This window comes from Homo sapiens, chromosome 6 (genome assembly GCF_000001405.40).
Source record: "Homo sapiens chromosome 6, GRCh38.p14 Primary Assembly".
Lineage (NCBI taxonomy): Eukaryota > Metazoa > Chordata > Mammalia > Primates > Hominidae > Homo > Homo sapiens.
In genome coordinates, this window is record NC_000006.12 from 27,445,169 (window position 1) to 27,459,701 (window position 14,533).

The 14,533-nt window shown below is 38.8% G+C and overlaps 1 protein-coding gene across 7 annotated transcripts in view, besides 2 other annotated features; it reads right to left on the reverse strand.

Annotated features, from left to right (window-relative positions):
* Positions 1 to 14,533, reverse strand: part of ZNF184 (zinc finger protein 184) — a 69,100-nt gene that overhangs the window by 41,163 nt on the left and 13,404 nt on the right. For 3 of the 7 annotated variants that reach the window (NM_007149.3, NM_001318891.2, NM_001318892.2), the window contains exons 4-6: positions 12,115 to 12,241; positions 11,658 to 11,753; positions 5,579 to 8,092 (exon numbers count right to left, since the gene is read on the reverse strand). In NM_007149.3, coding sequence (NP_009080.2) covers positions 6,135 to 8,092; positions 11,658 to 11,753; positions 12,115 to 12,241 — 2,181 coding nt within the window. In that variant the 3' untranslated portion in view covers positions 5,579 to 6,134. Of the gene's footprint in view, positions 1 to 5,578; positions 8,122 to 11,657; positions 11,754 to 12,114; positions 12,242 to 14,533 lie in introns of those variants that run through there. The other 4 variants (NM_001347832.2, NM_001318893.2, NR_144688.2 and 1 more) reach the window with 2 other exon arrangements.
* Positions 6,588 to 6,788: a silencer, noted in NCBI's record as "peak5742 fragment used in MPRA reporter construct". NCBI's record gives its function as "represses an SCP1 promoter by STARR-seq MPRAs in K562 erythroleukemia cells {active_cell/tissue: K562}" and the evidence as "EXISTENCE:reporter gene assay evidence [ECO:0000049][PMID:32103011]".
* Positions 7,348 to 7,548: a silencer, noted in NCBI's record as "peak5743 fragment used in MPRA reporter construct". NCBI's record gives its function as "represses an SCP1 promoter by STARR-seq MPRAs in K562 erythroleukemia cells {active_cell/tissue: K562}" and the evidence as "EXISTENCE:reporter gene assay evidence [ECO:0000049][PMID:32103011]".

Sequence of the window (14,533 nt, forward strand, 5' to 3'; positions counted from 1 at the left end):
TTATTCATAATTGCCTCCACCTGGAAACAATCCAAATGCCTGTCTGCAGCAAAGTGGGTAAATAGTGAAACATTCATATAATGGAATATTACAACACCCACAAAAATAAATGAACCACAGCTATTTGCAATAACATGAATAAATCTCACAAACAGTAGGTAAAAAATGCTAGACACAAATGTATAGGGTATGATTGCTGTGGTTTGAATGTCTCCTCCAAAACTCATGTTAAAATTTAATTGCCATTGTGACGGTAATAAGAGATGGGACCTTTACCAGGGTGATTAGGTTATTAGGGATCTGCCCTCATGAATGGATTAATGCCATTATTGAGAAAGTGGGTTAGTTAGCATTGGAGTTCTACCCACTTTTTCTGTCTCAAGTGCTCTTGCCCTCCCTTGCCACATGATGCCTTCTGCCATGGGATGATGCAATATGAAGGCCCTCACCATTTGTTGGTGCCATGCATTTTGACTTCTCAGCCTCCAGGACCATGAGCCAAATAAACTTCTATTCTTTATAAATTATGTAGTCTGTGGTATTCTGTTATAGCAAAAAAAAAAAGACTAAAACAGAAAATTGGTAAAGGCTATTTTAATGAGGTCCTAGATGGAAATGAGGAGCAAGGTATTGGAAACTAGAGTAAAGGCCATCCTTGTATACAGTTGCAAAGAACTTGGGGGATTGTGTCTGCGTTCTAGGGCCTTATAAAGTGCAGAACTTAACAGTGACGAACTGGGATATCTGGTGGAAGAAATATCTATGCAGCAAAGCATTCAGACTGCTGTGTGGCTGTTTTTAACTGCATACAATGAGATGTGAGAGGAAAGAAATAAAGATGGAATTTATAATTAAAAGAGAATCAGGGTAGAAATATTTGGAAAATGTATAGCCTGGCCATATAAATAATAGAAAAGTATGTTCAGGAGAGAAAACTAAGTGTGTGGCTAAGTGACTTTTTACTAAGGAGATAAACATGGACAAAAGGAAGGTGCTATTCATTAAGACAATGGGAGACAGACCATAAAGCATTTCAAAGATCTTCAAGTCTGCCCCTACAATCACAGGCCCAGAACTCTAAAAGGGTAAAATGATTTAGGGGAAAGGCCCAAGGCACCCTCCATGGACTCAGCTCAGAGCTGCCTCAGGTCTGCTCCTGGGGTTCCAGAGCAGCACTCTGTGGCCACCCTAGCCATGGCTCATTAGGCCCAGGTATGGCTTGATCCAGAAAATGCAAGCTGTAGAGCTTGGCAGTGTCCATGTGGTGCTGATGCAGCAGGCATGCACAATGCAATAGCTGTGAAGACCTGGCTTCCTCCACCTAGATTTCAAAGGATGTTGCTGACAGTCTGGGGGCCCAGGCAGAGAATTGTGCAGGGACACAGCCACTGCAGAGAGCCCCTACGACAATGACAAGTGGAAATGCGGGGTCAGAGCTGACACAGAGTCTCCACTAGGGCTGCCTAGTAGAGCATGGAAGTAGGGCCACTCTTAGGACTCCAGAATTGTGGGGGTAACAGCATGCAACACCAGCCTGGGAGAACTACAGATACGAGACTCCAACCCATGACAGCTACTGCATGGACTGAACCATTGGAGCAGGGCTGCCTGAGGCCTTGGCTGCCCAACCCCAACCCCTAGATGTAGGACAAAGAGTCAAAGGAGATTATTCTCCCACTTTAGGACTTAATGTTGGCCAGGCACAGTGGCTCATGCCTGTAATCCCAGCATTTTGGGAGGCTGAAGCGGGTGGATCATTTGAGGTCAGGAGTTCAAGACCAGCCTGGCCAACCTGGTGAAACCCTGTCTCTACTAAAAATACAAAAATTAGCTGGGCGCGGTGGCAAGTGCCTGTAATCCCAGCTACTCAGAAGGCTGAGGCAGGAGATTGTGCCACTGCAATCAAAAAAAAAAAAAAAAAAAGTCTTAATGTTTTCCCTGTTGGGTTTTGGAAAATAGGTAACTTGTTTGATTTCACAGGCTCATGAATGGAGAGAATTTGCCTCAGGATAAATCATACCTTGACTACAACCCACATCTGATTCAGATGAGACTCTGGACTTTGGAGTTGGTGCTGGAATGAATTAAGAATTTTGGGGCTACTCGGATGGAATGAATGTATTTTCTATGTGAGAAGAACATGAGTTTTGAGGGTCAGGGGCAAAATTCTATGGTTTGAATGTCTCCTCCAAAATTCATGTTGAAATTTAATTGCCATTGTGATGGTTTTAAGAGGCGGGACCTTTAAAAGGTGATTAGGTCGGCCGGGCACAGTGACTCATGCCTGTAATCCTGGCACTTTGGGAGGCCGAGGCAGGCAGATCACCTGAGGTCAGGAGTTCAAGACCAGCCTGGCCAACATGGTGAAACCCCGTCTCTACTATAAATACAAAAATTAGCTGGGCATGGTGGCAGGCGCCCGTAATCCCAGCTACTCGGGAGGCTGAGGCAGGAGAATCGTTTGAACCCAGGAAGCAGAGGCTGCAGTGAGCCAAGATCATGCCATTGCACTCCAGCCTGGGTGACAAGAGTGAAACTCTGTCTCAAAAAAACAAACAAAAAAACAAATAAAAGCTGATTAAGTCATAAGGGCTTTGCCCTCATAAAGGGATTAATACCATTATCACAGGAGTGACTTAGTTATCATGGGTGTCTGGCCCTTTTTTCTGTCTCACACACTTTCACCCTTTCTCACCATGTGATGCCTTCTGCCATCAGATGATGTAGCACAAAGGCCCTCACCATATCTAATTGTTGGAATTAATACTCAGGATAATAGTCACCTTTGGGGAAGAAGAAAAAGGCTGTGATTTGAGGGGTGAAATAGCATTACTGGAATGCCAGTAGTGCTCCATTTCTTGACCTAGATGATAAGTTTACAGATATATTCACTTTGCACATTTATATTTTGTGTTCTTTTGTTTTTTATTAAGTTAAAAAGTTCCCAAACTGAATTCTGATTCCTCATCCCCTCTGTGAACCTACTGCATACTTGGTATTCTCTATCTCAGTACATGGTAAATCCTTTCAAGTTGCTAAGGCTGAAGTCCTTAAAGCCACCCTAACTTCTCTCTCACTTTTATAGCTAACCCATAGGCAAACCTTACCTGCTGTACATTCAAAATACAGCCTCAGTCCAACTACTTCCCATCGTTTTGTCAACAATATCTTTGTTTAAGCCACCATTCGATCTTACCTGGACTACTAGCATTCCAACTAAATTCCTGCCTGTACTCTTAACGCTTTATAATTTATTCCCTACATTACAGCAAGTGACCCTTTTTAAACAATTCAAATCTGTGCCCGACACTCTCCAATGACTTGCCATCTCATTCTGAATAGAATGCTAAATCCTTACCATAGCCAAGAAAGTCCTGAGGAACTACACCCCCAGCTCTCTCTCTGACCTCATCTCCTACCCTCACTTATTACAATCCAGCCAGTGTTTCTGAAACTGCCAAATGCTCCTATCTCAGGATACTTGTGGCTCCTAGTACCTCTGCCTGGAATGTTATCCTCTCAGATATCTACCTAGTTCATTCCTTCACCACCTCCAAGTGTGTGCTCCAATGACAAGTCATTAGAAATGCATTTCCTTTTTTTTTTTCCCCCATATCAAGCATGTGAACCCAAGAAAGGCATTTCCTAACCATTCTGTCTACAATAGCACCACCACAACCCATGATGGAAGTCTTGCCCAAGCCCTTCACCCTGCTTTATTATCTATGTTTACCACCCTTGGCATTTTACAACTTTCTTTATAATAGGATGTGAGCTCTGCAACAGAATATTTGGCTTTGTCTATTTCTGAACCCCTGCAAATATAATTAATTCAGCCACCTCATAAGCATTGGCTGTGGTTGAATGATTTTTAATGAAGACTTAAATGTTTAAGGATGAATGACTAAGTTACGTGACATTTTCTCTCTTTTCTGCTTCCCTCACAGTCATTTAGCAAAAACTACTCAAGTGGTTTAATATCTATAATCTGGCAGACATGGAAAGTGCCAATCTAGGACCTAGAGGAAAATGCTTAGTCTCTATATGCCCAATCTTGGACATTGAAACATCCAAATAAATTACACATGAAGGTATTAGAACTTTTTGTTAATAGTAGACAATTCCTTGCCTCATAAACAACTGGCTGGCTTTACTGATAACTTCCGAGGTCTTTTTATTTCTGGTCAGTTTGTTAGCAAATGTTAAACCTGTAAGGGAATCCCTCTGTTATTTTTCTGGATTCATTACAACTTCAAGGAAAAACTTATAACTTCTGCCAATTCTCCCTTCGATTTTAATTTGGGGCCAAGGGTGGTGACTACACCTGTAATCCCAACACTTTGGGAGGTCAAGGCAGGAGGACTGCCTGAGGCCAGGAGTTGGAGACCAGCCTGGGCAACATAGCCAGACCCCATCTCTACAGAAATTTAAAACAATTAGCCAGGCATGGTGGCATGCACCTATAGTTCCAGCTACTTGGGAGGCTGAGGCAGGAGCATCCTTTAAGCCCAGTTTGAGGCTGCAGTAAGTTATAATCATGCTACTGCACTCCAGCCTGGGTGACAGAGCAAGACCCTGTCTCTTAAATTAAAGAAAAAAAAAAGATTTTAACTTTGCTCTACTCTCTCAGTATGGTAAATATTAAGAAACTAATGTTGGTATTATACTAGATGTTTATGGCATATATGACTTGTATATTACAATCAAGAAAAAAAAGACCAAGAAATGGTTTAAAATAACTTCCTCCCTCTGCTCTTAAAATAGAGGTAAGGAGAAAAAATGGTAAATATGTGACTTAGTTCACCAAAGTGTAGTTAGATAGATATGTCTGAGCAAAAGGAGCAATTGTAAATCCACCTGCTTTGGGAAACAGGAATGTGGTCTGGAATAGCTAGTAGAGATGTTTTTGAGAAACACAAAAAGGAGATACAAAAACCAGGATCATGTGAACTTCTGTAATCTCACTGACTGTCAAAACAAATACAAGCCAATTTTTCTTTCCAGTGTACACATTAGGAATTTAAGAAAAAACACTTATGCCTGGGTCCTATCTCCTAAGGCAATTAGTCTCTGGAGTTGTAGGGCCTTGGCAAGATAATTTTATAGGGTTCTCCAGGTGTTATGGACTTAATATGTTCTCTCCAAATTTCTATGTTGAAAGCCTAATCTGCAATGTGATGGTATTAGGAGGGGGGCCTTTGGGAGGTGATTAGGTCATAAGGGTAGAGCCCTCACCAATGGGATTAGTAGTCTTATAAAGAGATATGAGAGGTTGCTCTGTCTCTGCTTAGCACCATGTAGGAACACAAGAAGAAGAGAGGTGTCTGCAAACGGAAATGGGCCTTCATCTGACACTGGATCTGCTAGTACCTTGATCTTGGACTTCCCAGCCTCTTCCAGCTTTAAACAAATTTCTATTGTTTAAGATACCTAGTCTATTGTAATTTAACATAACAGCACAAATTAAGACACCAGGTGACTCCAATATGCAACCAGGGTAAAATAACACCAGTTTAAGTTGTAGAAGTGGAATTCTATAGTTGTGGTAAACTCCTAGAATATTAAAAACAGACTAGAAGAAGAATAATAGTAAGTTTTAATATTCTTACTGAGTTAGGCTATTATATGCAATTGAATTGTTAATTTGAGGGTATTTTATAATTCTTTTTATTAGGAACCAGTTACCTAAACAATGTAAATGCATTAGACCAGGAGCATACTAGATCCCCGATCTAGTTACTGAAGCACAAATTCTATTGGCAAAACATGCATAAACATACACATTCTAGATGCAACACAGCAAAATGCTGATGTATAGTAAACCCATTCAAGAAAATATTGTAAATATACAAAACTGATTATAAAACTCCAAACTACCTTTGAAATAATCTACTCCAAATCCTTCATTCCATAAAGGAAACTAAAGCTTAAAACAGTAGAGTTTTCTAATGTCACAGAGTGGCTTAATAACAATTGGATTAGTTCAGCCCAATGTACTTTCCATTCCATAACATGATAGTGAAAATTTAAAAGATTTCAAGGCAGTTTCTAAATCCACTCTGATTCTTCAGTACTTAACAAAAGGACAAACTAAAGTAAATATCTCCCCTAAATTTATGATGTTCCTAGAATTGTCATATGCCAGGATGCAGTCTCTGATGTTTGTTGAGAGCAGAGCGATATCTGAAGGATTTTCCACAATCATTACATCCAAAAGGCTTCTCTCCTGAATGAATTCTCTGGTGCTGAATGAGATATGTGCTCTGGCTAAAAGTCTTTCTGCATTCATTACAGTTATAAGGTTTCTCTCCAGTATGAGTATTCTGATGTTCAGTCAGATGAGTGCTCCGGCTAAAGGCTTTGTCACATTCATTGCACTTATAGGGCTTCTCCCCAGTGTGAATTCGTTGATGCTGAGTTAGATGGGAGCTCTGGCTAAAGGTCTTTTCACATTTATTACACTGGTAGGGTTTTTCTTCTGTGTGAGTTTTTTGATGTTGAGCAAGAGATGAACAATGTCGAAAGGCTTTACCACACTCAGCACACTCATAAGGCTTGGCTCCTGTATGAATTCTCTTATGCTGTGTAAGGTGTATGTTCTGGTTGAATGCTCTCCCACACTCATTACACTTGTAAGGTCGTTCTCCAGTATGGATCTTCCTATGCTGAATAAGGGATGAACCATAACTGAAGGTTTTCCCACATTCATGACACTGATAGGGTTTCTCTCCAGTATGAATTCTTTCATGCTTAGCAAGAGATGAACTCCGAATAAAAGCTTTCCCACATTCTTTACATTCATAAGCTTTCTCTTGAGTATGAGTTTTCTGATGCTGATTAAGGTTTGAGAGATAACTGAAAGCCTTTCCACATTCACTGCATTCAAAGGGCTTTTCTCTCGTGTGAATTCTCCGATGTTGAGTAAGGGATGAGCAGTAACTGAAGGCCTTTCCACATTCATTGCATTTGTAAGGTTTTTCTCCAGTATGAATTTTCAGGTGTTGAGCAAGGGATGACCAGTAACTAAAAGATTTTCCACATTCTGCACAATCATAGGGTTTCTCCCCAGTATGAGTTTTTTGATGCTGAGTGAGGTTTGAGTGCTGGCTGAAGGCTTTCCCACATTCATTGCATTCGTACGGTTTTTCACCAGTATGAATCATATGATGACGGATAAAAGTTGAGGGCCCGTTGAAGGCCTTTCCACATTCATTACATTTATAGGTTTTTTCTCCAGTATGAATTTTTTGATGTTGAGTAAGGTGTGTGCTCCTGGTGAAGGTTTTATCACATTCATCACATTTAAAAGGTTTTTCTCCCGTATGAATTTTCTGATGTTCCATAAAGTGGCCTCTCTGGCTAAAGGCTTTTCCACACTCATTACAAGTGTATGGCTTCTCGCCAGTATGAATTCTCTGATGCTGAACAAGATGGGTCCTCTGACTAAAGGCTTTCCCACATTCATCACATTTATATGGTTTTTCTCCAGTATGAATTCTTTGATGTTGAGTAAGAGATGGACCCTCAATGAAGCCTTTTCCACACTGATCACATTTATATGGTTTATCTCCAGTATGAATTCTTTGATGGTTTATAAGGTTTTCACTCCGGCTGAAGGCTTTTTCACATTCATTACATTTGTAGGGTTTTTCTCCAGTATGTGTTCTCTGATGGCGAATAAGAGCTGAACAATAACTAAAGGCTTTCCCACATTCATTGCACTTACAAGATTTCTCTTTTTTAACTGGGTTTGAATTCTGTTTGATGCTTCTTTTAGTAGAGGTCTCTTCTGGAGATGGTTCTTGTGTTACAAGGTTTGAACTCACATTGACACTTTTCCCAAATTCATTATTTACAGGGCCTTTTTCCCAACTGGGTATTGTCTTTTCGGTTACCTTTATTTCCTTTGGCAGTGTCTGTTGGTTTGCCTGCTGTCTCTCTAAACTGCCTTCATATTCCCAACTTTCTAGCAAGTTGGAACTCCAAGAATCATCTCTTTTGTGTTTTTCCACTATTACCTCTGGAGATAGCTCTTCTTCAGAAATGTCAGGCTCTGGGGCTGACACACTATTTTCAAGTCTTGTCTCCCAGTCTAAAAGAAAAAGAAAATTCCAGTGTTCTCTGAATAGAGAAAAAATAAACTGCTATTGTGGGAATAATATAATGATACTGAAAAATAAATCTCTCAGAAAATTCTAATGGTTTTCAAATATATAGCCATATTATTTGGGGAGAAAGTTGGAAGGAGCTAAGGAGAATTATAAATAAAATACGAAAGTGGCAAAAGAATGTCTAATTCAATTTCATAGATAATCTTCAAGAACCAGTAAGGAAATACATTTAAGGTAATAGTTGACTAAAAAGGTGACAACAGAGATGGCTAAGAGTAGACAGAGATGAACTGAATCTGAAGGGGGCAGTTTGAATTGGGATTCCTTGCTAATAAACAACAAAACAAAAAATCCAAGAACCATGATTTAAAGACAGAACAAACAGGAAAGATTTATTAGCTAAGACCCCATGTGTTTCAGCCTGGAACACTGAAGAAATAATCACATCATTGCTAGATATGGGAAGAGTTGTAAATAGTAGAGAAATAATTTAGCAGGGAGAAACTAACAAGTTCAAGTCTAGGCATTTTGAGAATTAAGAAAAGAAATGGAGAGCTGGACTATAGTAGCGTTTGTGGAAGTGAAAGATGCCAACATCAGAATAACAAGGATGTTCAAATGTAGGATGGAAAGTATCAGCTCAAAAAAAGAAGGACAAGAATAGCTAAAGCCTTAGAAATATATGTGAAAAAGAGCAGAGGCAGAGGGAAGATCCTTGAGAATAGTCAGGGTAACAGAATTAATAAAATATACCAATGAAAGAAAGCAGTTTATCAGCAAACACATAAAACAACAGAAGAAACATAACCAGGAAAGTACATAATCAGGAAGTAAACTGTTGCCCAAAACAAAAGAGATGACAACTAAAAGAAGCAGGGTAGTCAATGCTGGCAATATTCTTAAAGAACAGATTCAATGGTATCAGGAGTTTACAGCAGACCCCAGAGGATCCTGAATCTTTCCCATATTGCAAGCCCAGTCACTATCACTACCACTACCACTATCACCGCAAGCATGAGCAGTGCGGCAGACCTCAGAGCTGCCTAGCATCCCCTCCACACCTGGCACTACAGGTAACAGCACAGCACGTATTAGTGTAGGCAGCCTCACAGCAGTAGAATTTCTACAGGAGGGACGACATCAATACAATACAGGGTTTGGAAACAGCCGATTGTTCAAGAAATAAATATGTTTTCATCAACAGAAATGACACCAAGGAAGGTATGTTTGCAAAGCAGGTAGCCATAAAGAATACCTCTGGAAGTACTTCACAATGAAAGATATGGAGACCATGGAGTCTGATGCTGTTAAAGAACAGTGCATGGAAGTGGCAGATCTCCAACCCTGGTTGGAGTTCCACTCAAAGGCAACATGAAACAGGCCATGGCCAATGTTATCTATATTGTCATGTCCTCTACTCAATAACCAACAGAATTACTAGAATATAAGGGGCAGGGCAAAAAATGAAGGGATGGAGAAAGTTCCCAAAGACCAGATTGAAAAATACCATCCCTATTGCAGAAGCAATTCTCCCTTTACTACAAACAAAGTCTACAGACATTGACTATACTATTCTGATGTCCCATGTGTGGAGAAGTAATCGAGGGTGTTGACAACCAGGGGACAAGAAAACAAGATAGACCAGTGAGACAGATACATATCAGGGTTATAGATCATGATCCTGAGGGTCAAGATCATCAAGACAGCTCCGAGAAGATGGCAATAAAGAGGATGAGGGAAATTAGGTAGACTAGGCCCAGGGCTAGTGGCCAAACTCAACATAGGTACTGTCACAATATCACTAGCTGTAAAGATATCTACAAAACTATACGACATTTTTATAAAGACAAAAGCAGCCAACTCACCAGCTAAGAATAAATCTATTCTAGATGCTGATAAAGATAGACTTGAGGGCTGATTTACCAAGACTATCATCATCAGGTCAAATTCCAGCAATAAAAAGTAACCAAAAGAATGGAGCTAAATATCTCAAGTGCTTGCCTTCTGTTCACTGACCAGGTAAGTGGAACTATAAAAATTATCTATGCAACATGGGGGTGGGGGTTATTATTTTTGCCTAAATAAATCTTTCTGGTAAAAAGTAGTTTTTGAAAAGCCTAAGTTTTTCAATGTACATTTTAATGGTTTAAAATGGTTTTCTATCTGGTCAAGTAAAATTTCATTTTTAATTTGTAATAAAACTTGACAACTTGCTTTTTCCAAAAGTTAACTAACCATAAGCCCCAGTTATTAAAGTTCTTCTTCTTTTTTTTAATTAAGCTTTCTAAAGTATGTTCCATGAAACCATTCTAAGAGAAAGATTTTACAGATGTGATATGAAAAAAAAGTATTCATTGTTGGAGGCAGGGCGGGGGTTGGGAGATGTTACATTCTATGCAACCCTGTTGAGCATTCATAACACCTAACTGCCTATTTAAAAAAAAAATCTCTGAGTGGTACTCCAGTTAGAAACTTGCTAAAGTTTGAACATGGCATACATTTTTCCCCCGTAAAGAAGAACCTCACCTACATCCCATTAACTCTAGAGACGTATCGCTTACCTAGAATGACTAGGTTTGTTTGTTTTTCCAGGGTCAGATCCTTAGGTTACTTCATGCAGTTTGGAAACTGATGATTTAGAAGAAAGTTATTCATAATTTCAAAAACTGTATGATGAAGTGATAAAATCAGAAGCTAGCTAGGTGCAGTGGCTCACACCTGTAATTGCAGCACTTTGAGACGCTGAGGCGGGTAGATCACTTGAGCCCAGGAGTTCAAGACCAGCCTGGGCAACATGGCGAAACCGTGTCTCCACTAAAAATACAAAAATTAGCCAGGCATGGTGGCGTGCACCTGTAGTTCCAGCTACTCGGGAGACTGAGGTGGGAGGATTACTCAAGCCTGGGAAGCAGAAGCTGCAGTGAGCCAAGATTACGCCACTGCACTACAGCCTGGGCAACAGAATGAGACTTTGTTTCAAAAAAAGAAAAAAAAAATCAGAAGCTATACATGTTACTAGGTAAGAATTAGGTGATAAAGAAACGAAGCCTGCAGTTATGGAATTCATTTTTGTTGAGTTTGCTTGGGAAAGAAAAGATAAACTGAATGGTGGCCATAAAGATTCATATTGTGGAGTAAATCTATTTGGAAATATAGGTTATGTATTTCTATTTAAAAGTACTGGGAATGGAGCCCGTAGATCCAAAATAAAAAATTGTAAGGACTGAAAAGTACGGTGATAATTATGAGATCATGGTCCTAAAGGAAGTAGAAAGAGATGTAATTCAGAGTCCAGTTCGAGAGGTGGATTTCATAGAAAGGTAGGAAGGACATCTCCTCAAAAAGGGGCATAACATAGAATATATATTGCAACAATTAGTGACATAACAAAGCATAAGAAAGTCCAGAAAACAGATGTTTTCCCATTTCTCCACAGGAAATACTTTAAAGGGAAGAAAGTACATCTACACTTCAGACATAAAATCCTCTCTTATCAGGCTGACAGTCGGAGTTAATGATATTCATCTGCTGGCATCCATGACTTACCTGCACAGGTACCTACTGGAATGCTTGGCTCCATGATCCATGGCTCTGTCCCTTGCTCTAACTGGGAAATCACATCAGGTTTAGAAACTTGGAGTCCTGTTCATTAGGGAAAAAAAGAAAGAAACCTGCAGTAAGGGGAAAGTACCATATCAGAATTCAATCACCACTTTGTCTTTAGAAGAAATGATATGTAGTAAAAACCTGATGGGAGTGGATAGCATATCAAGCTTTAGTGTTACCAGTTCCCAGACATGGTGGGAGTATAATTTGGGAACTGATCGGGGTTCAGGAAAATTATTATTTTGTCCCTCTGCTTGCTAGGATGGTAGAAACCTTTTCAAAAACTAGAAATTTAGAAATGGTTGGTTACTAAACTTAAAGGCAAACTCCCCTGAGCACAAGAGAGAACCCTCCTCCTGCACACCCCTTGATATTAACTCAGAGAAATTATCCTTACCTATAGAGACCAGGTGTGTATAATTTTCCAATGTCACATCCCTGAACAAATCTCTCTGGCCAGGGTCCAGCTGTTTCCATTCTTCCTGGGTAAAGTCCACTATCACATCCTTGAAAGTCACCGCTTCCTGAAATACCAAACATATTTCTGCTTAGCCATAAGCATTTACTTAGGAAAGGGGTAAAGTTAGCAATACTGACAGAAGTAAGGCAGTCTATAGGATGTCTGCAAAATAATCTTGACATTTTCTCCTTTATGAAATAAATGTAAAAACAGTGCCTCATCCATTGGGTTATTGTGAGAATTAAATAAAACATTCCATGTGAAATGCTTAATTTAACGTCTGGCATATAATAAGTGCTCAGTCAATATGGCCATTGTTGTTGTCCTTCATCGTCATCATTACCATCATCATCTCTGTGTTCCAAGGTCCGCTAAGTATTAATGGTTTAACTATTATCATCAATATTTTTTACTACCTACAATGTGCAAGAGCACCCAAAGGTTTTTTGAAAAAGAGAGGTGGAAAGACTTGCCCTAATACATTTCAAAAGATAAAGTAATTTAAAAATGGCCTAGTCTGGAATAAAACAAAATGAAATAAAATAGAAAATCCAGAAACAGATTCATATTTATAAGAGTTAAAAGGCATTAAGCAGCTTTCAAATTGGTTAAAAGTTAGTTAAATTAAAAGTAAGTTAAAAGTGAAATTAGTTAAGATGGATTAGTCACTAAATCATGCCATAACAAACGACTGTCTATGAAAAAAAAATTAAGGTGAGATCCTTACTTCACAACACACACAAAAATTCCTGCCAACCTAAAGATGAAATCGTAAAGAAAAAGTCAAAATAAAATAGAATAAAAAACAGGAAAATATTTGTATAAGCTTGAAATCTGGAAGGCAAAATTTACATGATGGAGAGAGAGATCGATAGATATAACCACATAACAATGTAAAACATCTATAAGACATCATAAACAAAAGGCAATTTAAAAAGCTTCTGCACAGTAAAAAAAAAAAAAAAAAAAAAAAAACAATCTACAGAGTTCAAGACAACCTGCAGAAGGGGCAAAAATATTTGCAAACTATTCATCTCACAAGGGACTAATATCCAGAATATACTCAAATCAACAGCAAAAAAATAAATAATACCATTAAAAAGTGGGTGAAGTATCTGAATAGGCATTTCTCAAAAGAAGACATATAAACACCCAAATATATGAAAAAATGCTCAATATCACTAAATGCAAATCAAAACCATAATAAGATATCATCTCACCCCAGTTAGTCAAAAAGACAAAAAAAAAAATAACAAATGCTGGCAAGGATACAACACTGGTGGGAATGTAAATTAGTACAACCATTATGGAAAACAGTTTGGCACTGTCTCAAAAAAACTAAATATGGAACTACCATATGATCCAGCAATCCCGCTAATGGGTATTTATCCAAAGTGAAGGAAATCAGTATACCAAAGAGACACATGCATCCCCATGTTTGCTATGGCTTTACTGACAACAGCTAAGATATAGAATCAACCTAAATGTCCATCAACAGACGAATGGATAAAGAAAATGTGGTATATATACACAAGGGAATACCATTCAGCCATTTTAAAAAAGAATAAAATCTTGTCATTAGTGGTAACATGGATGTACCTGCAGGACATTATGTTAAGTGAAATATGCCAGGCACAGAAAGATAAATATCGCATGTTCTCATTCACATGTAGGAGCAAACAAAAACAAAACGAGCTCATAGAGAGTAGAATTGTGCTTACTAGAGGCTGGGAAGGGTAGAGGAGGGAAGGCTAGGGAAAGACTGGCTAACAGTTACAAAGTTACAGGTAGATGGAAGGAATAAGTTCCAGTGTCTATAGCACTATAGCGTGAATATGGTTAACAATAATTTAGTGTATAATTACAAGAAAGTAGAAGAGAGGATTCGGAATATTCACAACACAAAGAAGTGATAAATGTTCAAGGTGATGGATATGCTAATTATCCTGATTTTATCATTACACATTGTATTCACGTACCAAAATATCACTCTGTATCCCATGGATATGTACAATTATTACATGTCAACTAAAAATTAAGGGAAAAAAAAAAGATCAACTACCCACAACAATAGCAACAATAAAGGCCAACAACCCAAATAGGCAAGTCACCGAGGAAAATGTGAAACCATGAAAAGATGCTCCCCTCCCCTAAAAATATAGTTAAACAGTAAAATATCAGACTGGGTAACACTGCTAAAGTGCTCATGTGTCCTATGGTGGAAACAGAACCCAAATGCAATCTATCTGGGGGGCAATCTGACAAGATCTATCAAAACTTTAATGGATACACCATTTGATCTGGTCTTCCTACTTCTAGGAATTTATTATTCAGAAACACTTCTAGGTACAAAGAC